The sequence below is a fragment of the Homo sapiens genome, chromosome 11 (genome assembly GCF_000001405.40).
Source record: "Homo sapiens chromosome 11, GRCh38.p14 Primary Assembly".
Lineage (NCBI taxonomy): Eukaryota > Metazoa > Chordata > Mammalia > Primates > Hominidae > Homo > Homo sapiens.
This window is the reverse complement of record NC_000011.10, coordinates 82,093,994-82,120,738: the sequence shown is the minus strand read 5'-3', so window position 1 is coordinate 82,120,738 and position 26,745 is coordinate 82,093,994. Positions and strand designations below refer to the sequence as shown.

The following is a 26,745-nucleotide window of genomic DNA, read 5'->3' as shown; positions in this document are numbered from 1 at the left end:
TCTCAGAGGAGTACCCGGCCGTGTGAGGTGTCAGTCTGCCCCTGCTGGGGGGTGCCTCCCAGTTAGGCTACTCAGGGGTCAGAGACCCACTTGAGGAGGCAGTCTGTTAGTTCTCAGATCTCCAGCTGCGTGCTGGGAGAACCACTACTCTCTTCAAAGCTGTCAGATAGGGACATTTAAGTCTGCAGAGGAGTCTGCTGCCTTTTGTTTGGCAATTTCCTGCCCCCAGAGGTGGAGTGTACAGAGGCCGGCAGGCAGGCCTCCTTGAGCTGCCGTGGGCTCCACTCAGTTCGAGCTTCCAGGCCGCTTTGTTTACCTACTCAAGCCTGGGCAATGGCAGGCGCCCCTCCCCCAGCCTCGCTGCCACCTTGCAGTTTGATCTCAGACTGCTGTGCTAGCAATGAGCGAAGCTTCGTGGGCATAGGACCCTCCAAGCCAGGCATGGGATGTAATCTCCTAGTGTGCCATTTGCTAAGACAGTTGGAAAAGCACAGTATTAGGGTGGGAGTGGCGCGATTTTCTAGGTGCTGTCTGTCACCCCTTTCTTTGACTAGGAAAGGGAATTCCCTTACCCCTTGCTCTTCCGGATGAGGCAATGCCTCACCCTGCTTCGGCTCATGCTTGGCGCACTGCACCCACTGTCCTACACCCACTTTCCGACACTCCCCAGTGAGATGAACCCGGTACCTCAGTTGGAAATGCAGAAATCACCCATCTTCTGCGTCGCTCATGCTGGGAGCTGTAGACTGGAGCTGTTCCTATTTGGCCATCTTCGATTTTATCTTATACTTTAAAGTTACATATAATGCTTAGTTTTGTGGTCTGCCTAATATTTTCGGTAAAATGTACAATAGGAATTAATTTTTTTATTTTTCTTCTTTATCACAGCTTTCATTAAAGGCAATGTGTGTGCATACACATACACACACGCACATATATATACACACATATATCTGTTAAAATATCAAGTAACATTAGTATGCAAAAGAACACACAAAACACCTTACATGGAGATATCATTAGCTACTATGATTTTATTTTGATAAATAATGAAACAGGTTTGGAGTACTGACATAACACCCTGGCAACAAAATTTTAATTGCAGTTTTCACTTGAGGTTAAATTTTCAGAGGCACATCATTAATCACATCCAATGGAATTCTTTTCTAGGAGTTAAAAAAGTAAAGTAACCAAATGCAACTTGACTAGATACCAAAAAAATCAATGAATTATAATAGTTTCAGAAATAATTTTGTGAGAGTATTTGACATTGGAGTAAGAAAGCAATGACAAATTTACTGAATTATAAACATACGGGTGAAGTCAACATCAGATATCTATTGTAAACAAGGATGTAAACATAGGATGGTTCTAACTTTAATTCAACTCATTCTTTACTAGGAATATGTGAAATCCTTTGTTAGGGCGGTTAAGGACATTATAAATAAGTATTTTTAAAATACTTTCCTCATCTAGTTTTGGAGCCTTGTGAAGAGGTTGATCAGTTTTCCTTCGTGAGTAGTTGTTTAGGTTCATACTCTAAACACTTCGTGTATCCAGGATCTCACAATGCAAGGTCACTGTGCGCCAGCCAAATCTCCCTGGAGCCAGGCACCAGACAACTAGAAACAGCAGGAGACTGCAAAATTGTTCTAACTATCCAAACTACCGGGAGTCTGTGAAACCTAGCTAAGCCCATTCCAATTGCCATATATAAGGTGTCCTCTATGTCTCTGGGTTGGTAAGACCCTGTCCCCAGGTACAACCTCCTTGTGTAGCACTGCCTGGCAGCCTTCTCTTGTTGGAGCGCTAAGTAAAACAGGGTTCTATCTATTCAAGCACCATTGTTTTGTATCCTACCAGGCAGAGGTGGAACATAAGTCAACTTAGAGTTACCTGCATGGCAATGTTTACATGATGTTTTTTTCTTTAATAGACAAGAACTGTAGCATTTTGTTTCTTGATTCAATTTAAAGTAAGAAGACTTGTAGTTCAAAAAGTTTATGCACTAGACATTCAAGTAACTCTCATAACTGAGTTCTTTGTTCCTAATTGTTCTTAGAGGTATTTGGAGAAAGATCTAATATATTCACAAGTAAGAAAAGTATCTAAAGCTGGTTTTTAAAATGCAAGAGAGAATGATATTGCTATTTGAATGGGACATGGCCATTGGCTGTGGGCTCAGACCTCCAACTGTGTACTTTATTCTAGTACTCAACAGACAGGAATATTTAATTAGGAGATAATCTTGTCAAGGCCTTTTGCTCTTAGTTTCAAATTGATAACTTTGACAGCACTTTTGTCTACTCTGGACAAAAATGTATTGTCTTCTACGTTTTACTGTCAAATATGAACTATAATGGCATCATATTCAATAGTTATAATGAATGTCAAGATTAATTTGAGTTTGGAATGGTAATAATCCATTCTCTCAATATTTTCTTCTCTAGGAAATATAATTGCAGACAAAGGATATATTATCTGTGAAATTGCCTTTGAATTCAGAATAAAATGAGAAACATTCCCAAATTGTTTACCTTTTTAAAAATTCATACTCACTAATGATAAGCAAATGACCAGGCTATAGGATGAATTTCTTTCATTAATTTTGTAGTTATCTTTAATTAAAGAACAAAATTATATTAGTAAATATTTTACAGTATTTTAGAATTAATCTGTTTTTTCACTTTTTAAAACAAATTTTTGTGGGTATAGAGCAGTTGTATATATTTATGGGGTTATGAGACACGTAAGTATTCCATGGCTACTGTCTGGGAATGTATTAACAGGAATAGCTGATATTTATCAAAACCATTTTAAGTCAGATATTGTGTTATATCACTGAATTCTCACAATTACTTTTTAGGTAGATATTCTTATTTAGTCTTTCTTTGTGTATTGAGAAATTGAGGCATGGAAGATTTTGGTAATATAAGATTACAAAGATAAAAAGTATTGTAAGGAAGTTTTGAGTCCATATTATCTGATTTCAGAGTCCATCATTTCATCACTGTAAAAGTATTAGACATTCACAAATAATTAGATATCCTCGTCCAGAGCACAGAATTGCATTTACTTGACCCATTTAAATTAGGCATGCCATGTAACTTGCTTTAGCCGAGGAAATATAAGCAGCTGTAATGTGTCATTTCAGGGTGAAAACGTCAACTGGGTGAGTGCTTTGCGGCATGCCTGTTTCATTTTCATAGTGATCTTGAAAACAGAGCTTAAAATTAAGCTTCTTTCGACTGGAGCATTTCAGTGACTACAGTGGCTCATGATAGATAGGTGGCAGGAGTGAGTGATCAGATTTTGTTGCAGTAAGCCTCTGAAATTATAAAGTTGCTTGTTACCTCTATATAGACTGCTCTATCTTGGCCTACAAAACAGCTCTGCAACATAGTTCTGTTACAATAAGAAAAGCTACTAGGAGAAATACCTAGGAAGTCTGGCCCAAGAAAAAGTTAAAGTGCCTGTTAAAATGGAAAAAAAAAAAGAGGGGGCAAAATATTGAAAAGGTGTGAAAGAGAAATGATAAGGTAATTGCAAATGAAATAAACTGTTAAACTCTAGTGTACATAGTAAAGTTACTGGGAGATGTAATGAAGTCAAGTGACTAGAGCAGGCAGCTGATGAGGATACATTGTCTATAGATTCCTAGAAGGTGATTGAGAGACTATAATTGTATGGGATGAATCTGAAAGAATTTAATAGCCAGCTTTGATACTGGCTGTATGTTAAACATGTAACTTTTTCCTGTGCAGAAAAATAATTAGAATTTAGAGGTGTAGTTCATGGGCTTATGAATAAAGTGTACTTCAAATATTTTAAACTTCTGTATGGCATTTATGACATTAACCAAACTAGTATTTGATGTATGTATTCATATGCATTTATATATTTATCTAAAATTTTGAAATGTAACCATGTAAAAATTGCTTATTGTAAACTTCAGATATTCCCAGAAGTTCTAGTGAAGAAAGATTTGAATATTGTGACCTGATGTTTCATGAAATTTATTACCTGGAGAATTCATATGAGAAATACATTTAAGCGTCACCAAGTTTAACAAGAAAATGTGCCTGAAGAGGGAATATTAACAGATAAATACATTGTATGTTTGGGCATCAGATTGGGTTAATATTGCAAGATGATTATTGAGAAATCATTGGGAACATGTCACAATGAATACACTTTTGTTATTAAGACATCCTTCTTAATGGGTGGCTTAAACAAGACAGCTGATAGATTTGCCCTAGGAAACATTGAGAATTGTGAAGGAATGTAGAACAAAAAGAGAAGAGTAGAACTTAATTTTGGTTCTAACTTGAGCACACCTTAAAAAAACAAAAATATTTTCATAAAACTTCCCAAATTTAGAAAAATAAAAGTGCTCCAGAAACAAATAAGAAATATGACAGAAAGGGCATCAGTGGGTGACCATAATTACTCCTATATGCATAACCGGGAGTATAATCTGTTTAACTGTGAGGATAATTCTGCTAAACTCACCATCATAGGTGAAATGGTTGTGGTTAGGATGTTAGGTCAATGAAACAGGATGGTGTTGAGAAATATATTTGAGGTAAACTCAACATAACATGGTGTTCAATTAGAAGAAATTAATATTCAAGCTTGAGAATTCTATCATTACTTCAAAGTTTGTGACATGGGATATGCTGTGTGGCATTAATTGCAATCAAAAATGTATGATCAGCAGTTGGTTTTAAGGAAGATAATACATTTAGTTTGGGATGTGGTGCTTTTTAGTGCCTGTAACACGTGTTTCATTTGCTTGTTTGTTTTTATTTGTGAGTTGAATAATTGAGTCTGAAACTCAGAATCACTGTGTGGGCTGAGATTTTCCTGCATTAGCATTCAGTATATTGTTAAAGAATGGGGAGGAAGTTGAGGAGAGCATGAAGAATAAGAACAGTGAACCATGGACAGAATTCTGGAAACAGTCAACATTTAAGTGATGGGGGAAAATGAGGAAGGCAACTAACAGGTGGGCCATAAATCTCCAAAGAGTTGAGACTGTGAAGAATAAAATGCTAAACCATACCAATTAGAAGTCCAACAAGATTAGAACTGAATTGTAACCACTAGAGTTGCAATTGTATTACTTATATGCTTGTTCATAACAATTTACTCCAGGATGTAGTCACATAAAACAACGACCATTTATTATCTCACAGTTTCTGTGGATGGATAATCTACGTGTGGCTTAGCCTGATTCTTCTATGTCAAGGTCTTTAGTAAGGTCCATTGAAGTTCTCATTTTGCTAGGATTATGTTCTCTTCCAAAGGTTCAACTGAGAAAGAGGATTCTACTTCCAAGCTCATGCATGTGGTTGTTGGCATTTGTTGTGTTTTTGCCTCATGTGCCTCTTCACAAAGATGCCTTATGACATAGAAAAATGGAAAGATGGAAGCTATATTCCTTTTGTAAGTTGATCTCATAAGTGACATACAATCAACAATCCCACATAAGTCAATAGGTCCACCTCTCTCCCTGTTCCCTTCTTTAGCAGGAGGACATTACATTAAGATATGAATACCAGAATGTCAGGGTCATTGAAGTTCATCTTAAAGACTAGCCCCTGTACTCCATATGATTTGTATCTCTCTCACTTTGAAACAAAAATGTACTCACTCCTTCCTAAGGGCACCATTATAGAAGCAGCTCAAGGTCCAGAATCCCTAAAGGTCCATGTAGGGATAAGGCTCCTCAGATACAGTTCCTTGAGCACAGCTCTTCAAATGCAGTTTATCTCAAACTGTAGATCTGTGAAACTAAAGAGACAAATAATCAGTCCCTCACCCCTGCACATCCCACATGTAATAGTAGAGGAGACACTGAATAATCACTAAAGACATTCCTGCTCAAAAAGAGAAAATTGAAAGGAGTTGCTGGCTCAAAGCAATTTAAATATTCAGCCATGCAAATGTTGGAAGAGCCTTGATTAGGTCACAAGGCCTCAGAATAATTCTCTATGTTTCTTTCCTCTATCTTCTGGGTCCTTTGATTAATATTCTACCTTTGCTTGTGAAATTCTCTCCTGAATGCATCAGTGGTACTCAGCAACAGCTGCCTACTTCCAAAGTCCTTATAAACACTATTTTCCCTCACCTTTAAGTGCAATTTTATGGTTCATAAAGCGTAGCATGTCCTTCACCAGTATTTCATTCCAGTTCACCTGAGATAAAAATCTCAATGTTGGCACATCTAGAACATGTCAGGACTTATCAATACTCTCCTTACCCCCAACGATGGAACCTCATTGCTATCCAGCCAGTGAATAATCTAATTTGATGTTCTCTTCTTCAGAGTCTGCATCCTAATACCAAAGGTTCCTAAACTGGATTACTTACAGGCAGAATCTGAGATGGTTTTCTTGTGCGAGTAATTGATTAAGGGAGTGTTCTCTGTAGAACTCTTAAAGGGAGATGAGGTAGGGGGAAACAAAACAATGTAGTCTAAATTGTGGTGCAATAAGTACACCACAGAATAGTGTGTTTGTTTGTTTTTGTGTTATGTTATACTTAGAGAAAAAGAAGAAAAGAATTTTTTTTCGTATCCATACCTGATCAATCACTGGTTATGGGTTGAGGGTTGTGAGGCATAACTTTCCAGGCACATCAAGCAAGACATTAACTGGATCATGTTTAGTTCAAGGATAGTGCTCTGGAGAACTTGCAGGTGTGAGCTGAAACTTCTTCAGTTGCAGGTGTGTAAATACTGTGGAACACCAACAATAGTTATCTACCACATGACCCAAAACTTCTTAATAATGGAGTTTTAAAATTTTAATAAATTCTTATTTTTTCCCACTGAAACAATTTTCTTTTGAATATAACTGTAATTTTTGTATAGTTATATATTATTTGAAGTAGGTGCAGTACTATATCCTTTATTATTTGTCCTGAGATATATAACTTTTTCTTCTAATATATACAATGGAAATTTATAAGTTACTGTTTTTAAATATAAAACCTCAAAAATCTAAAGCATATATATTTCAGTTTGGAGAAAATATACTTCTCTAATTTTTATATTGATAGTTTTATTTGCTACCATAAATCCAAGTTCAGAAAATTTACTTAACATATATTTTAAATCAGCGGTTTAGGAAGAGAACATCAGAGGGAAATCATTTTGGAGGTATCTGGTCACTCAAAACCATCTTTCCTTGACAAGACCATGAAGGAATCAAGAAAAGACTGGCAGGCTTAAAAAGAATCTGCCTGAGATTAATTCAAATTCTGTCATATAATTTTCAACTTTATTATTGTTAAAGCTGTAATGTTCAGTGTATTGTAATATAGTAGTCCATGTGTAGATATTAAAAGAAGAGGCTTACAAAAATCAGATTGCAGTTTCATGGTCTCTACTAAGCACATTGAGTTGTGGGACAGAGTTTAATTCTAGCAAGAAACTAATGCCCAGCATGCTTGGTGAGGTATGTGAAAGGATGTGTATCACACTCTAACAAAATAATGATGGTTTTAGAAACCTTAACCATATACTAAGAGAGAAAGAATTTCTCCACACTTGTGTCTTTAGTACTCAGAGTGGTACATGGCACACAAAACCTTTACCTTAAGCAAATGAATAGAGAGAACCTGGATCTCCCAAGTTTCATGGGTCACTATGTCTACAGCAGCAGAAGAAATTCCAGACCCTCTTTCAACTTCCCTGTACCTCTTAAATGCCTCATTCTCTGGGCAAGGAAGGAGCAGTAGTAGGAACCAACATTTTTTTCAGTGCAGGGTCTGAGAAAGACATGATGCTCCATTCTTCATATATGCAATTTCATTTAGTTTTAGAACAATCCTGTAAGATAAATGCAGTAGTTTCTATTACAAATGTAAAGAGCTGAATACCAGAAATACAAAGTGGATATAAGAGTAGATCTCCATTACCCTATATATTATCCATATCATATACTGATGCATGATTTTCTTAGGTTATTTTAGGAATCTGTTATGGGAAAGGGGGTGAAACGCAGATGATGTCATTCTCACAATAAGTAAGACTTCTTACATAAGAGTCAAGATAAATACTTATACTAAAAGTCATGCTAAGACAAGTAGGAAAATAAAAGATCTCTATTTACATGAATGTATTCTCTCTCTCTCTCTCTCTCTCTCACACACACACACACACACACACACACACAGTTTCAAACTCAGATTTCCCAGCCAAGGAAATAGGTTCTGGCACATGGCCAGTCCTTAAAAGAATTTATACAGCACAAAAAAAATGTCTTGGGCAATAGGCCAACCTACATTTTAATGCATTCTGATTTCCTCTCTAAAGAATCAGTGTTGGTAGGTGGTGTACTGAAGTATGTGCTCCAAGCATATGCTTGTGTTTCCTACACCCACTGATGCGGGGAGATATAGGGAGAAGAAAAACAAGATGCTTCAGGAAGAGAGTTACATAACATTGGCAAAATGACCTAAGAATTGTGATGAGCATAATTTTTGTAAATGATAAACAACTGTTTGGGAATTGTGAATATGATACCCGTGAGAGTAGTACTAGGTTCAGATGACATAAAATTGCCCAGAAAATTCAGTAAGATCTGGTGTTACATGAAATAATCCTGGCTAAGTTTCTATCTTTCAGAGAGACTGTATAACCAATCTTCTCTCTATTAATATGTATATTAGAATCTTGCCTCTAGTATTCAAGAAGTGCGCTTCAGTGTATAGTGATATGTATTAGCTATATGCTGCATGAATATTATATGTCTGTCTATCTATCTATCTGTCTATCTATCTATCTATTTACCTACCTATCATGGATATACTAATAGTGACTGAATCTTCCCTGGGAATGAAGAAATGATTACAATTTATTCATTTTATGCATTATGCCTGTGTTCATCCAATGAACTACAAGATAGTCAATTCTGGTTTGAATCCCTAGTTTCTCTGTGAAGAGCTAAGAATTCTTAACAAGGGGTGAGTAGGAAGGAAGTCTTTGTGCAGAGTGCATTGTATTGCTTTTTCTGGTCACCTTGTGCCTTCTTGTTCTGTGAAGTGAACGCTGGAATGTCATTTTTTCTTTGTTTGTTTCAAGGTCCTTAGTTCCATCTTCACCTATGTACTTTATCTGTCAGCAGTTGCCACTAAGAAGAAAACAGATCTCATTGGATTTCAAAGATAAACATTTTTTTTCCTCATACATCTCATGGTCAGTTGGAGCAGATCAGTAGACTTATCGTTAGTTTGTTAGGGTTTTTAATGCATAAATATCTCCCCCCAATATGAAATCTCCCTCTTGTTAATAGAAATAGCTGCATGATTTTGTAGCTCTCTGTCTTTTTCTTATCCACATACTTGTGTCTGTATTCTTTCTTTCTCATACTTTTTTTTCATTTTTAAAATGGGTTTTATTGCAATATAATTCACATACCATACAATTCACCCAAAGGGTACAATTCAGTGGTTTTCAGTGTATTCATAGATGTGCAGTTATCACAACAGTCAACTTTAGAACATTTTCATAACACCCAGAGGGAGCCCCGTAATCATACTTCCGCTTTTGCTGCATAATAAGCATGAATAACAATTTAAATAGTATTTTCCCCCTGTTTTCTCTCACACTTTCCTTCCACCAAAACCTGGGTTCAATAAAGGAATTAATATTGATCCTTCACAAATCACACAATAAGATAACTATTGGTTTACTTGCATAGTCTCTCCTTTGAACAATAAACTCCTCTGAAGCAGGTACTACATATTAGGTATCTGGTATTACTTTTTTCAATATTCAGGATAGTGTATCTCAAATTTTTATGTACATAAAACTCCTGAGGATGTTGTTAAAATACATAATCTGATTCAGTAGATCTGGGTTTGAGTCAGAGAGTATGTTTTTACTAATTTACTAATTTACTAATGCTTTTGGTTTGTAGATCACAATTTGAGGCAAAAAGATCAAGCTGCATTTTCTAAATATTACAAAACAATAGGGTACCCTCATTTGTCGTGTCACCACTGATGCTAGTATTATATTTTAAGATATGCTACTTTTTAAGATGTGTTACGTAAATTTAAATACAAATATTGAACCCATGGTAAAGCAATTAAATATTTAATGAGAATGTGGAGAAATGTATTGGTGCGCATGTGAAGGAGGTAAATACAGCTTTGTCTCCCAGTGTCCTCAAGTCACAAAATATAACATTCTCTTAGTCTGTTGTATTTAAAGACATCCTTCTAGATGAAAAAGGAGACTACTTGCCATGGTAATTTTTTTAAGACAGAATCCTGCTCTATTTCTCAGGCTGGAGTGCTGGAGTGCAACTCGAACAGCCTCAATCTCCTGGGCTCAAGCAGTCCTCTCACTTCAGCCTCCAGAATTGCTAGGATTACAGGCATGAGCCACGACACCTGGCCAAGGTAATTTCTTATGAATGACAAAATAAATCAGTTATTTCTACATACTCTCTAACATAAGCCAAGGTCTACTTGACATTATGTACATATAAAAATTGTTCCTCTTAATCAGAGGAAACTGCATATTTTGTATATGATGCATAATTACTTCTCCCTCATAGAAGATTTCTCAGTTCCAGAGTCATTACTTTACCCTGTAATCATGATATCTCAGCTTCTCTTATACATAAGCCCGTGAGAAAAATGGTCATTCTTGCTTCTCTTGTACCTTCTACAGTTTCTTCATCCTTTTGTAGATGACATAATCTCAGGATGAATATCAGATTATGGGTGGCTATAAGACTTTGAGGGCTTTATAATGATAGGAAATTCTTCAGTGAAAGAAAAGATTTCTAAAGATTTCAAGCCTAATCCCCAATAAAAGTATAAGCAAGTCTAAACAAGTGTATCATAAAGTATTTTAGGCTTAGTTTTCATTTAATGGAGTGGAATATAATCTGATAGATAGAAAACCCATGAAGTTTTAAGGGGGTAGTAGTAGTTTAGACTTAAAGGGACTGAGATATCTCAAATTAAAAGAAGGCGTCTGGACTCTTCGTTGCTAATGGAATGACCCAGGCCAAGAAAGCTACTTGGCATCAAGCATGGGGCATTTCTTATGTGAAGGAATACAATGTTAGAAGCTGTAGCTCAAATCCTTGGAGACCAATGGGCTATACTGACACTGCCACAAAGCAGAACTGGGCCCAGCTCAAGTATTATTTTCTGCTCACAGAACAGAGTGATCTTATAATGTGTGCCCAGGTGGATTTCAGAAATTCTATAGACCAGTGATTGATATAGGCGTGTTATGTATTTCTTTTTAAATGACTGTATCTATTGTCAGTTGTCTAGCACCACCTCACCATAGTATGCTCATTCGGTGTGTGTTATAGAACTCATCTTTCATAGTTTAAAGTCTCTGGATGAGAGGAATTATACTCAAAGGGTAGCAAATATGGAGACTTATCCACATTTGGACTTAATTTTGATTAGGCCTTGGATTTCAATCTGATGAAGTAATGAGAAAAGTCTTTTTTAGGTCTTAGAATGGGAAAAAGCACATTTCGCATGTGGGAGGAATGTGAACAAATTCTGGCCAGGTGATGTTTGGAGCTAGGTTTTTTTAATGCCTACATATCTTTTTGGGGAAAAGTGGGCATGGGATATGAATAGATGTTTCTCATAAGAAGACATATAAATAGCTGGCAAGTATATGAAGAAATGTTCAACATCCCTAATAATCAGAGAAATACAAATTAAAACTACAATGCAATGTCATCTTACCCCAGACAGAGTGGCCATTATTAAAAAGTCAAAAAATAACAGATGCTGGCGAGGCTGCAAAGAAAAGGAAATGCTTATGTGTTGGGAATGCAAATTAGTTCAGCCACCATGGAAAGCAGTTTGGAGATTTCTCAAATAACTTAAAACAAAACTACCATTTGACTTAGCAATCCCAGTACTGGGTATATATCCAAAAAAATAAATCATTCTACCAAAAAGACACCTGCACATGTATGTTCATTGCAGCACTGTCCACAATTGCAAAGATATGGATTATCTTTGTGTACATTTATGGACGATTATGTAAAGAAAATGTATTATATATGCAAAATGAAATACCATTCAGTCATAAAATGAATGAAATCATGTCTTTTGCTGCAACATGGGTGGAACAATGACCCTTATCTTAATGTAACATGGGCCATCATCTGCAACATTGACCATTATTTAAACAAGTCAGATGCAAAGATAAATATTGCATGTTCTAACTTAATGTGGGAGCTGAATAATGTGTACATAAAGACACAGAGTATGGAATGATAGGCGATGAAGACTCAGGTGGTTGAGGGGGTAGGAAGGGGATGGGTCATGAGAAATTACTTAATGAGTACAACATACATAATTAGGGTAATGGATACTCTAATAGCCTTGACTTTACCGCTACATAATCTATGCATGTAACAAAATTACCCTGGGTCCCATAAATTTATACACATAAAAAATTAGATCAAATCACTTTCTCCACTCCTTGAATCCGGTCCTGTTCACATGGCCTGATCTGGTGCAATGGATCAGAAGCAAATGTGAAACAACCAGAGGTCTAAGAAGTGTTTTATGCATTAGTCTTATCTTTTTTATAACCATCCCATCTTCATGTAGGGAAACTAGAAGCTAGAGAAGAGGCTGTGTGAGAAAGTAACCTCAGCTATACCAGTCAAACAGACTTTACTGGCTGAGGTCCCAGACTTGGGAATGAAGTTATGCAGGACCAAACAGCACCAAATGAACTAGTCCAGATCAGAATAACCTTTCAGCGAATTCTCAGACTTGTGAAAAATAAGAATTTATTGTTACTTTAGCCACTAAGTTTGGGGGTGACTTTTAAGAAGCAAAAGCTAATGGGCTCTGCCTCGTTACCAAATAACTATTTCAAAACAAGTTCCAAATGGGTTACAAAGACCCTAAAATTCACACATTAATTTCCTAAATTCACAGTTTATCTGTTCTTACCTTCAACATAATTCTGAAAGGCTTGTTTACTTATGGCCGGGGGACCAGATTCTTCTTCCATCCACCCAGTGTTACAATCAGGGAGATGCAGCAAGTACGGTTCCAAAAATATGTCTTTATAATGTGTCTGTGACATTGATGAAAGGTAAACTCATGGTCAGCATTTGCTAATTTTAAATCTTAAGAGGCTCTAAAGAGCATTTTACTCCAATTTCTTTATTTAATTGATGAAAAGATTGATGCTTAGCATGTTTAGGAGATTGGGTATTAATTTGTGGTCATAAGTGTCAATGTGTTTGATTCTTACTGTATCCCACATCCCTGCATAGTAATATCAGGATTTTTGAAATTCATTTCAGAAACATTTTCCACTGAATGTTTAAAACAATGATTTAATGGCACTAAAATCATTAAATTTAAATGAAAGTTTCAGTTATGTGAAAGTGTAGGTGAATAAAGTACTTTTAAATTGTATATGGCCAAAATTAAGACCACTTCCCTTGTAGTTAACACGTAATTTTTAGTGGAACTTGGGCAGAGGAGTCTGCATTTTACAACCTCATAGAAGTCTGATCTTTTCTTAACCTTTCTATAACTGGAAAAATACCATGTATGATAGCGTCCTCCTTTAAAAGATGCAAGGCAGAGGCATTTATAGAAGACCTGAGAAAATAAATATAGTTTGTAAAATAAAATGTAAGTAGAATGGGGGCTGTGTAGAAGGAACTTGAAGAAAGATTCTGAGAAAGAAGAATGGGGAAAAGGGACACCCACATGCAGTGGTGATGAGGGTGAGATATACTTTTTTTGAGCTTACAAGTCAGGTGTTACATAATATTGGGAAGAAATGGGGCAAAGTGATGATTTCTGCAAGTATTTATGTTATATGTTCATTTCCACCTACGGCATTGATGAAGAAATGTCATAAACATCAGTAAGACAATCTCAGTGTCAATTGCAAATTTCAGGATATTCAAGTTGTTGAGATATTGGGAGTTGTTATCTACGTATAACAAAGCATTACACAAGCCAAGCAATACATAGATCCTAGGAACTGGGGTGAATTGTACTCTTGAAAATATTGACTGAACAGCAATAAATTAGCTAATTTCCCCATATAGAAGTCACTAGGAATAAAGTATAAGCAGTTCAAGGCTGAAATAATTAATTTTATCCATTAATTTTTATCCATTAATTAATTTTATCCATTAATTAATAATAATTATATCACAGAATATTAATTTGCTTGACCTAGAACAAACAGTTTAATGCAATTTAATTCCACACATGAATAGCTGGATGCATACTGTGTGATTGTGTTTCAGTTGGGACTCAATGCACCCATTTGTTGTGGAAGGTAAAGGCTACTAATGAAAAACTCAGGGCAGGGCTTAAAACTCACAGGGTATGTATTTTTTTAGAGTCAGGTTTTAAAAGTCTGCAAATTTTCTGCTGCTGAATGTTTATTCAAGGCAAATGAATATTCCACATTTTTATGTTTTTACTTCCATTTCATCCTATTAATGTATTATTTTAATGAGGATGAGATGTTGATTAGATATAATGACTGCTAATGATCACATCTACTAAATTTAGGCAGATGTTAAGGGACTTGTTCTAAAAAATACCTCCTGTAATAAATCTCAGGAGAAGCTAGTGAGAGAAAGAGCCTTCTGCATTTACTATGATAATGAAGTAACCGTGACCCAAAGAGGCAAACTGATGTCTATGGCATATGATTTGGCTCAGACACAAGATGGAAATAATACTTACTTAGAGTGGTTTAAAATTTGAATGCAAAGTATTTTTAGAAGTATTGGCAAACTGAAGGAAATGAAGGTTTTTAGAGCAGAATAAAGGATGCTTGGATTTCCATCATATATTTGTTTTAGAGCTACAAGTCTCATTGCTGCATTAGTACAGTTCCACCCTGTGAAGTTACTAATTCATACAAAGTCAAAGAGGGCAATGTTGAAACTAAATCCTACGTCTGTGCTTTCACTTTCCACATGGCCCTCAAGAGCTCGGGCAAATTTCTCACACATTTAATTCAATGAGTTCTATTTAGTTCAATGTTAAGTTGATATATTTGGATGTCCCTGCTGAAATCTCATGTTGAAATGTAATCCCCAGTGTTGGAGGTGGGGCCAGAAAGGAGGTGTTTTGGTCGTGGGGGCGAATCTCTCATCGCATGGTGCTGTACTTGCAGTAGTGAGTGGGTACTACTAGCAAGATCTGGTTCTTTAAGTGTGTGACACCTCCCCACTCCAATCTTTCTTCCTCCTGCTCCTGCCATGTGAGACACCTGCTCCCTCTTTGCCTTCCACCGTCATTGGAAGCTTTCTGAGGCCTCCCCAGAGCAGATTCTGGTTCTGAGCTTCCTGTACAGGCTGCAGAACTGTGAGTCAATTAAACCTCTTTTTTTTTTTTTTAATAAATTACCCAGTCTCAGGTATTTCTTTATAGCAAAGCAAGGATGGTGAATACATGTCTTGCATATTTATGTGAAAGCTCAGTAGTAAGCACTGAATTATATAATCCATTTAAAGAAATCTATGTGTCACCTTAGCTAGCCTAATAATTCAAATGAAAAATAAATACACGGTGGACCATCCAGCAGAAAACCCAAATCGGCATCTTTTAATTTGCAGTCAGCAAGATATACAGTAAACCAACATCCTTTTGTGATAAGCTAACTGCTCTAATGCTCTAACAAAACCCAAGATCTCCACGGTTTACCTTATTAAGTCTTTTTTTGTTGTTTTTTTTTTAAGATGGAGTCTCACTATGTCACCCAGTCTGGAGTGCAGTGGCCTGATCTCGGCTCACTGCAAGCTCTGCCTCCCGGGTTCTTGCCATTCTCCTGCCTCAGCCTCCCAAGTAGCTGGGACTACAGGTGCCCACCACCACACTCGGCTAATTTTTTGTATTTTTAGTAGAGATGGGGTTTCACCATGTTAGCTAGACTGGTGTCGATCTCCTGACCTCGTGATCCACCCGCCTCTGCCTCCCAAAGTGCTGGGATTACAGGTGTGAGCTACCGCGCCCAGCTGGCCATTAAGTTTTAATATTCATTCATATCATAGTCTGATGAGGGATTTAGTGGGTGGATTTTCTCACTGTGATTTAGAGGTCCAGGTATCTTCCATATAATGGCTTTGCTAATCTACTAGGGCTTCAGAGATTTCTACAGGATTAAATACTGATGATATATAATGACAGCTAGTGATCTTATCTGCAAAATTAAGGCAGATGTTAACTTAGTGTTTAAAATATCTCAGAGATAAATCCATTTTGCAATAGTCAAAAGAAGAGAAAGAGCCTGATATTTTACAAAATAAGTTTTAAGCACCACGATCTGTAAGTAGCATGTCTGACTTCCTTATTTCATGCTGTTAGTCACATGGTCCCACTAAACTACAAAGCAGGATGGGAAATATAGCTCTCCTTTTTTATATGAAAACAAAATGAGATAGGATTTTAAATCTCTGCAATAATCCCATTGTCTTCCCTCTTTTTAAAATTAACTCTGGCTTCCAGATTTTCCATGTTTCTGTGACAACAAGAATGTTAAGTTATTAATCTATTACCGCTCATGACCTCTTGAATAGTTCAGTAGGGAATGAGAATCTTCCTCTAACTAGAAAATACCATTAATTTTCTGGCATAGATTATTTTCTTTTTAGAAACAGAAGTGGTTCAGAAGTCAAAGGCCTTTAGCTCTAATTCCAGCTAAACACTTCCCAACTGTGTGATTTAGGCAGCTCATATCACCCTAGGTGGGGATGACAACATTAGCATTATCAACCGTGTGCTCTTAAATATTTTCCCTTTTAATAGCCTTTATTTTTAGAGCATTTTTAGATTCAAAGGAAAGTTAAGTGAAAAATGCAATTAATTCTTATGTATCTCCTGACACACATGCCCCTCAAACTTCTACCACATAGACACAGTCCTCCTACCACCAACATCCTGCACCAGAGTGGTACATTGGTTACAACTGATGAACCTACATTGACACATCATTACATCCAAGGTCCATAGCTTACATTAAAGTTCAGTCTTGGTGCTGCACATTCTATGGGTTTTAACAAATGTATAAATGACATGTATCTACCACTGTAGTGTCATACAGAATGATTTCATTGCCCTCAAAATCTTCTATGCTCTGCCTATTCATTCCTCCCTCTCCTCCAACCTTTGGCAACAACTCACCTTTCTATTGTCTCCATAGTTTTGCATTTTCTGGGATCTCATATAGTGGGAATTATATGACATGCAGCCTTTTCATATTGGCTTCTTTCACTTAATAATATATGCACTTAAATTTTCTTCATGTCTTGTCATGGCTTGATAGCTTGTTTCTTTTTTAGTGCTGAATAATATTTCACCCACACCAGTTTATTTATCCATTCACCTACTGAAAGGCCTCCTGATGCTTCTGAGTTTGGCAATTATGAATTAAGTTGATATACACATCCATGAGCAAGTTTTTGTGTAGACATACTTTTTATGTCTTTTGGGTAAGCATCAAGCAGTATGATTGATGAATCATGTGGTAAGAGTCTGTTTAGTTTTTGAAGAAAGTGGCAAACTGTGTTCCAAAGTGGCTGCATTATTTTGCATTTCCACCAGCAATGAATGAAGGCTTATATTCTTTTGGAGCAGTGGTATTTTTGTGATCTCTGTTACCCCACTCCCCCTTCACATTAGTCTCCATTCTATTCCTGCCTCAGAACCTTTGCAGTTGAGTTCCCTGCTGCTCGGGATGTTTTTTTCTTTAGATCCTTACATAGCTATTTTTCTTTCCTCAAAATTTGGGTTTCAGCTCAAGCAGAGTTTTTTTCCAGCAAACTTTTCCTGATCAGCCATTCTGAGATATTATCCTACCTGTTCATTTTACTCTCTGTGATGACATCCTATATATTTTCTTCAAAGTAGAGATCAGTGCACAAAAAAGAATTCTCTAGAGTATAAGTTTTACAAGAGGGACTCTGTCTTGCTCAATGTAGACATATGGACACTGAAAAGTATTTGTTAAATCGACACATTAAAGGAATGAAACATATGAGCTGCAAGTCTTTTGAAAAGATTTGTTTGATCTTGGGTAGATTTTGTTCCCTCTCTGAACATTTTCAGTTTCTAGGTGACATTTCAAAGTCCATGTGAACAAAAGGTGGTCCTTCTCTTTGTAGCCTCTTGGGGAATCACCTTGAGGATGTAAAGGCTTTTCTTATATGGTTTGTTTAAAAACAGTGGGTACGGGCTGGGCACGGTGGCTCACGCCTGTAATCCCACCACTTTGGGAGGCCGAGGTGGGCAGATCACGAGGTCAGGAGATTGAGACCATCCTGGGTAACATGGTGAAACCCCATCTCTACTAAAAAATACAAAAAATTAGCCAGGCGTGGTGGTGGGCGCCTGTAGTCCCAGCTACTTAGGAGGCTGAGGCAGGAGAATGGTGTGAACCTGGGAGGTGGAGCTTGCAGTGAGCTGAGATCGCACCACTGCACTCCAGACTGGGCGACAGAGTGAGACTCCTCCTCAAAAATAAAATAAAATAAAATAAAATAAAATAAAATAAAATAAAATAAAATAAAATAAAATAAAATAAAAACAGTGGGAATGAGAAGCAGTCTGCTGAAGAGTTCTGCAATGAATGTCTTATTAACTGTGTGATAGGGTTTTAGTCATGCTCCACTTGAACAGTGGACAAACCAAGAGTTTTTGCATGAAGGAAGGAAAGTATAGATAGGTGATATTATGGCCATACTCTCTGTTGCTTTGCTTTTGATCAGTTAGGATTCACAATTATTATTTGGAAGGCATGCCCACAGGTGCTATGCCCTTGCTGTTTGTCATCTAATTTCAAATTAGAGCACAACTTCCTGCCAGGTAGAGTAGTTAAAATAAATTTAGCTTAAGAATATCCTATGAAAGACATATTTTGTTAATGACATACTTTTTTAAAGAAAGTCATGATGCAGGCTTTTCAAAGGGAAAGTCACTATAGAAAGAATTTGAAAATAAGTGAACATCAAGGGAAAAAATAAAGATCATTTTCTTCTTTTTCTGTTTTCTTTTTGAGACACGGTTTTGTTCTTGTCGCCCAGGCTGGAGTGCAATGGCGCGATCTCAGCTTACTGCAACTCCCGCCTCCCGGGTCCAAACAACGATTCTTCTGCCTCAGCCTCCTGAGTAGCTGGGCTTACAGGCACTTGCCACCACGTCCAACTAATTTTTTGTATTTTTAGTAGAGACGGGGTTTCACCATGTTGGTCAGGCTGGTCTCAAACTCCTGACCTCGTGATCCGCCCGCCTCGGCCTCCCAAAGTGCTGGCATTATAGGCGTGAGCCACTGTGCTGGGCTGATCATTTTCTCCTTTACAGGCTTTAAAATTTGGGAGATAGGTAATCAAAATGAATGTCTAATATTATGTAATTGGGAAACCTAGGATCATTAGTGTAAAATAAATCTGAACCTTTTGTTTTTATGTTTGAATCTAACCTAGGTAGTGGCAAGGCTGAGGATAAAGTTCCTTTTGTTTTCAGAGAGATGATAACTAGCATCCAACAAGTAGCTTTACTCACATTGTCTCATATCATTATTCTATAGGTTTGTAAAGTAGATATTATTGAATCTATCTTATAGATGAATAAACAGAGTGAGAAAATATGTAGTTATTTATGCAAAATCACATAGCTATTAAATGACAGAGCTAGTACCCAAGCACAGGTCTATCTGACCTGAGAGCCTGTGGTTCCTCCGTCCTATCACAACCTATGAATTTCTTATACATCATCTCATGACAGGTGAGGTGAGTTTATTTCCTCTATTTTGCACCTGTGGCTCCTGGGTCTCAGAGATTAAGTAAACACTTTAAATGTAAGTGATTAAGTGTTGAGTAGGACCCATATTTTCTGATTCTCAATTTCAGGATATTTTGGTCTAGGCTTGCTACAGATTAGATTAAAAATATAAAGATTGTTAATTCCATTCATACATTTGTGAAGACTAGAGCCAAAAGTATTTCATTTGATGTGTTTTCTATGGTATTTGTGTTCACATTATTCTAAAATAGTTGTTTTATTTTTTACATAAAATTACATATTAAGGATAATGTGTTACACATTTAGAAAAGCATATTTCTAAATTTCCACCTCTAGAGATTCTGTTTCAATAGTTGTGGATTAGGATCCAAGAATTTGCATATTTAACAAACAGGTACTTCTGAAATAGGAGGTCTGCAGATGACATTCTGTGAGGCATTCTTATTTTAATGCTTATTTTATTACAATTTAACAAAGTGCTTCTGAAATAAGAGGTCTGCAGATGACATTTTGGGAAGCACTCTTACTGCTTACTTTGTTATAATTTATTGATTTAATTTCATAATTTTAATTCACTTGAAGTTCTTGCTAAATCAGTCAATTCATATTAAAAGTCCTGCACAATCATGGTGGAAAATTAAATTGATAAAATATTTCCCTTATACTTATAGCTAATGTTGCAATGAACAGGAAATACTGCTTTATTTTTCACAACTGAATAATTACTTTAGGTTACATCTCAAGGAGAAGGATTGCCAGATCAAAAGTCTTGCAGTTAACCAGGCGTGGTGGCAGATACCTGTAATCCCAGCTATTCGGGAGGCTGAGGCAGGAGAATCGCTTGTACCCGGGAGGCAGAGGTTGCAGTGAGCTGAGACCGCGCCATTGACTCCTGCCTGATGACAAGAGAGAATCTACGTCTCAACAACAACAACACGCTTGGGCACTGTATTAACTCCATAATCGTAAGTCACTTTTTTGAATTTGGTTTCTCAGGTTGCTAATAACAAACTTATTCCAGATGTTTTCCCCTGTTTGCATTGTCTGATCAATGGCATTATTTCCATACAAACAGGCTGCTTATAGGTCTCCAGTTTTATATTCAATTTTTTTGACACAGAGAGTCATAGGGTCAAATAGGGTCACTGGTTGAAGAAATACTTACTCCACAATTAATTCAAAATAAATTTAAAAATACTATGGAACATATGTAAGTGTGTTTTGTTTTTTCTTGACTGAAAATTGAAGCCTTTATGTGGTAGTTTAGCTCAGAAATTGAGCACAATTGAAAGAAATAAGCAAGTTAAAATAGATTTAAATTTGAATATTGCTCGTAACACCTGCAAGGTCATAATTAGGCTATCAGGCATTCCACTACTTGTTCCTTCATGCGTTCATCTAATGGATGTTCATTCAACACTCACGACATTAGGGACTAGACTAAGCAAACAAGACAGAATGGTCCCTTTCTTTATAACATTTACACTCTAATGAAGATTGGCAACAAACAAATAATTATGAAGTGTGAAAAGAATATGTAGCATTACAGAACGACTGGCATGACACACATCCCACTGACCATTCCAGAAGAATTCTCTTCGATGAAGTGATGAGTGAGCTGATGCCTGGAGAACTGGGAAGTAATTATCCAGGCAGAGAATGAGGGTGTGGTTGGCCTAGAGAACAACTTTAACTTTCTCAAGAGAAGAGAGGATATGCTCTTTTGGAAGGAATGAAAGCATGTATATTGGTTTGAATGTACTTGAGGGAATGACAGGAGAGAAGCCAGGGGGAGAATTGTAGACTTGCATCAAGAAAAGGCAATTGGACTTCATCTGAAGGATAAGGGGCAGATGATTTTTAGCAGTGGGGTGAACATGTGCAGTGGAAAAATGGCTTTCATTGTGATATGGAGACAGGATCCCAGAAGAGCAGCAGTGGAGGAGACCATTTGCCAGGCTGTGGAAGTTATTCACCTGAGGGCAGATGACAACCTGGCCTTGGGTGTTGGCAAGGAAGCTGGAAGGAGGTGGGACGAGGTGGAACACACTGAGGGAGTGGATTTTGCAAGAGCTGGTATTTGAATGAATATTAGGGATGAGGCGGCTGGAGATGGCAATTATCTGATAGTTTTCTAGTACTTTAAAAATAGATGTTAACTTGTACTCTTTTAGTTATTTAGAAATGTACAATTAATTTATTATTGATTATAGTTACCCTGTTGTGCTATCAAATACTAGATCTTATTCATTATTTCTGTTTTTTGTACCCATTAGACATTTCCCCCTCCCCCGCAACTCTCCACTCCCCTTCCCAGCCTATGGTAACCATCCTTCTACTCTCTATCTCCATGAGTTCAATTGTTTTTGTTTATAAATCCCATAAATAAGTGAGAGCATGTGATGTTTGTCTTTCTATGCCTGGCCTATTTCACTTAACATAATGATCTCCAATTCTATCCTGTGCTTTGTTTTTCCTGCTTTAGAAACATAAGATGAATTAAGCTACATTTTTTTCTCTGTCCCCTTACTTTCCACCTTTGAGGGCAATTAAAGCGTTGGGTCTTGTGGATTAGATCATAATATCTTCTTTCAAAAAGAGTAGAAGTGTCAGAGAAGGAGCTCTGAGGCTCAGAAATATGAAGGCCTAGGTGGTCTGAGGAGTAAAAAGGCTCCCACTTTAAGGGGGAAGAGGATAGGTGTTAGAAAGATAGCTGCAGTTGTCTATCAGTGCTGTTTTCCCACAGGAATTCAGATGGATGGACTATGGAGAACTTGGGAGTCTCTGAAAGATATCCAAAGATATCTAGGCTCAGTTTGGCTCAGAACAGTAAACAGATACTATTGGAATTAAAGAAAACCTTTTAAATAGTATTTTGATCAATTCTGCACCAGATTTTCAGGCATCAAATAAGCCTCTGGATTTCTCTGGGATTTTAGAATGGGGGAAGAATCCAAAATAATATCTGTGACTAAGTATTTTACCACCTGGGTTTTCTTATGCTCCTATTTTCAGAGCACTTAAGAAGTATGACTTCAAAGATTTTTTAAGTGTCTGGATATAAAAGTCTTCAGTGCCTAATAAGCACTAGCACAAGACTATATGCCACGATTCAGATCTACTAGCGCTGCTACTGTCTGCATTTGGCAGATGAGCCCTAGCTTCTCTCTTGTCATACCCTCAAGTACACTGAAACAAATATACATGCTTTCATTCCTTCCAAAAGAGCATATGCTTTCTTCTCTTGAGAAAGTTAAAGTTTTTCTCTAGGCCAACCACACCCTCATTCTCTGCCTGGATGATTACTCCCCAGTTCTCCAGGCATCAGCTCACTCATCACTTCATTGAAGCTCAAAGGTGATACATAACTTGTGCATAGCCATATAACGATACTGGAAGAATAAATTTAACACCACATCACTAAATAGTGGCTTCTGTAACGCTATTCAGCAGCTAGTGAGACCTAATAATCAAATACCACTTGACCCAGAGAACAAACTTCCAAGCAGAAACTCTGCTTCTTTTAACTTTCTGTGAAGCATTGGTCCAAGCTACCAGGTTAAGGTATAACTCTCTGTTGTAATTATCCACACGGTTGGGTGCATCTATGCAGCCTGCCTCCTATTTTTAAGCCTAAGATTTATCTTCTGTGATATTAAACACAGTTTGCTGGTAAAAGATAATTCAGTTTCCCTCACAAAAAAAGCTTACCTTTATTGGTCAATAAATATTGTGCTTGATTTTCTCCTTTTACACTGAGAACATATGCTTCCCTGGGCATGCAAAAATCAAATGCATTATCTTCTCTTTTGCCGCATTGGTTGCTTTTTCCAATTATTTTGGAGTATAAGTATGGTTGCCTATAGAGAAAAGGTGGATTTAAACCTCCTGAATCATTGTGTGTGTGTGTGTGTGTGTGTGTGTGTGTGTGTGTGTAGCGGGGGACTCTTTCTGTCAATACAAACAATTTGATTTTAAATTATAATACACGATGTATGGGCCCAGTTAAGATACAGTGATTTATCAATGAAGATCAAATCATAAACGTGTAGAGAAAGGGTACTCATATATTGTTTTATTGTCTAATCAATGCACTTGAAGATTACTCATAGTGTCCAGGCACCTTCTTTTCCTCTTCAGGACTAGAAGCCATCTCTCTGTGTATTTTACTGTTAAATGTGCCATCTCTTGCTGATTTTATATTTTCTACCGTGAGGAAAACGTAATGCTATTATTACTCACAATGTCATAGCTCTTCAAAATCTACTTGCCTAAAAAAACATAGAACAACTTGCCTATCTAGTTCCCTAATTCCACTTATTTAATGCAGGGTTTATTCATAATGCTGCATCATCCAACCATCATCCAACCTATTTATCATTCACAATGCCACCTGTGAATACTGGCTTCCATTGACTCTTTCAAGAATTGCTACTGGGCCTCACCAATGTTGACCACAAATGCAAGTCATACTGAGAGTATGTAGTACATGTGAATAATAATTAGTTTTCTTGTCATATTAAACATATCATTCATACTAGTATGAACATAGAGAAATCCTTCGATTGTATCTTTTCGTGAGCTCTTTATTTACTGTTTTCCTATATAGAATGTGGTCTTTTTAAATGTTTGTCTTATCCCTGCCTTTCACAAACTAACACCAGTTGGGAAGATAGGCAAGAGTCCCCTGGAAGAGTAGGAAGAGTTGCCTTATTTGCGCAAGGATTGTCTGATGTGTATTTGACATGACATAAGACTAACCGAGAAGAGCACTCCTGATAGTATTGATTAGAGGCAATAGAGAACACTAATAAAAGAATCAGTTGGCATTGTAGGGAAGGCAAGTGTGGCTATTCCAACAATGCTGACAGATATGTGGCTTGGAGCCTACAGAGTGGGTGAGGTGATCACCTTGAATTCCTGTGGCAGAGGATGAACAGGGTAACGGAATGTTTACCACCATTCCTCTCATCTTTGTCGCTGTAAACCAGAAGAAACACTGTAGTCAAAATGCATACTGGTGAGGAAGAACTGTTTACAACACGGGGAGTCTTAAGCAAATTCAGCGACTAGAGGTTGACAGTTGGGTAGGGACCTGCACATGTAACCAGCAGGTGCTTTTGAAATAAGAAGATTTTAGACTACAATTTGGGAAGTACTGTTCTTTTAGAGCTTAATGTATTATAATTTTCAAAATTTTCTTTCTATAAGTTTTATTCACCTGAATTTCTCACTCGAAGTCAATTTACATTCAATCATAATGGACAATAAAATTGATAAAATGTTTCCCCTTACATTTATAGGTTATGTTACAATGAACAGAACATCTTGCTTTATTTTCCATTCTTGAATCATTTTCTTAGATTATATTCCAAGGGAAATGATTTCTGGATCAAAAGACTTCAGCACTGTGTTGGATCTTGATCACTTTGTCATTTTTAAAATTTTGACTTCTTATAGCTGATTGATCCTGCAGATATAGGTGGACATAGAAGATCAAAGGGAACCTCAAATGGGAGAGACTGGGTCTGGAGGTCCATGTGTGTCCCAGGCTCATGATGTTCTACCTAGATGGCACTGCTGGCCTCAGCCATTCCAAATTACCAAAGCTAGACCTGGAAAATTTCAAGGAAGACACTTCATAATGTGAACTGCCTTTAGGCATAGGTCAGGAAGGTATTGTCCTACGTACAAAAATTCATTCCAGCTCACAAAATAACTCGCTTTAGGAAACTAAGTATATTTTCTTCCGTCTCTGAGCTATAGTTTTCTTAAATATAGGTCACGAAGAATAAAATATGTTTCTCACAATTGTTGGGAAGGTTAAAATGAAATAATGTATTTGAAAGCATCCTGTGTATAGAATATTTTATATATTCAAAATGTTAATTTTCTTTCTTCCTAAAGGGTCAGATTCTTCACTTTTCAAAAGTTTTTTTAAAAAGCTTTTTAATATATGAAAAATACTTTTTGAAGAAATTTTTGAAGGGAAAAATTTCTGCCTCTGACTTTCTCTATTTTATTCTCTTTTCCTATTGTTTCACCGTGCCTTATATTCTTTCTCCATTCTTCTCAAAATGTGTTCCTCAGGAATATGCTGAATTATTCTCATACAAGTATGAATCTATATCACTATAATTCATTTCCTAGTAATTTATTCATTATGGTAAATAAGTATTTATTGAGTACTCCTTTCCCAGATGTTAAGATAGATATTGAGTATCAAATGGTAACAGGGCCAGCTTCATGTGTGTGCATGACCTGGGCAGTCCTGTTCCCAGAAGCCAGCTTTGCTTGGTTCAATACTCTGCCATTCCCATCTTGAAATTCTTACAACTTTGCATAAGGGATTCATACTTTGCTTTCCACTGGACGTCACAGATTATATAGCCTGGCCTGGGTGCTGAATCCATAAGTCACACTTCCTGTCCTCAATAAGTTTATGTGAAACATATGCATTTAAAATAATAAGCCACCAAAAAAATGTATAATGTATAAGGTTCTAAGAAAAAAGAAGTATTATTTGAAATAGAATAAGAGAGATAACTTAATTAAGACCGGAGCAGTTAGGTAAGACTTCTCTGAGGATATGAGCTGATGCTTAAAGAATGAGTAGGAGTCAGCTATGTCAGGAACTAAAAGAAGCAACATTTCAAAAAGCCCCGAGGCAGATAAAAGCTTGGCACAGCTGAGAAACTAAGAAGTGAGTCTGAGGTGAGGTTGGAGTAGGAGGCAGGGACCAGATCATACAGATCTTTGTAGTCTGAAGCACCAATTTCATTTTTATGCCACGTAGGGTAAAAACCTAGGGAAAAGGGGTGTGTGTGTGTGTGTGTGTGTGTGTGTGTGTGTGTGTGTGAAAGAGAGAGAGAGAGAGAGTGTGTGTGTGTGTATATGCACATTCACATGCGTTGATACCAGGGAAGAATGAGTCTTAGTGACCCT

At 36.9% G+C, this 26,745-nt stretch overlaps 1 long non-coding RNA gene across 1 annotated transcript in view; it reads left to right on the top strand.

The window, feature by feature from the left end:
• MIR4300HG (MIR4300 host gene) overlaps positions 1-26,745 on the top strand; it is a 524,063-nt gene that overhangs the window by 283,175 nt on the left and 214,143 nt on the right. Inside the window, exons 4-5 of the long non-coding RNA NR_120571.1 lie at positions 20,532-20,765; positions 24,131-24,278. This is a non-coding gene — a long non-coding RNA (MIR4300 host gene). The remainder of the gene's footprint in view (positions 1-20,531; positions 20,766-24,130; positions 24,279-26,745) is intronic.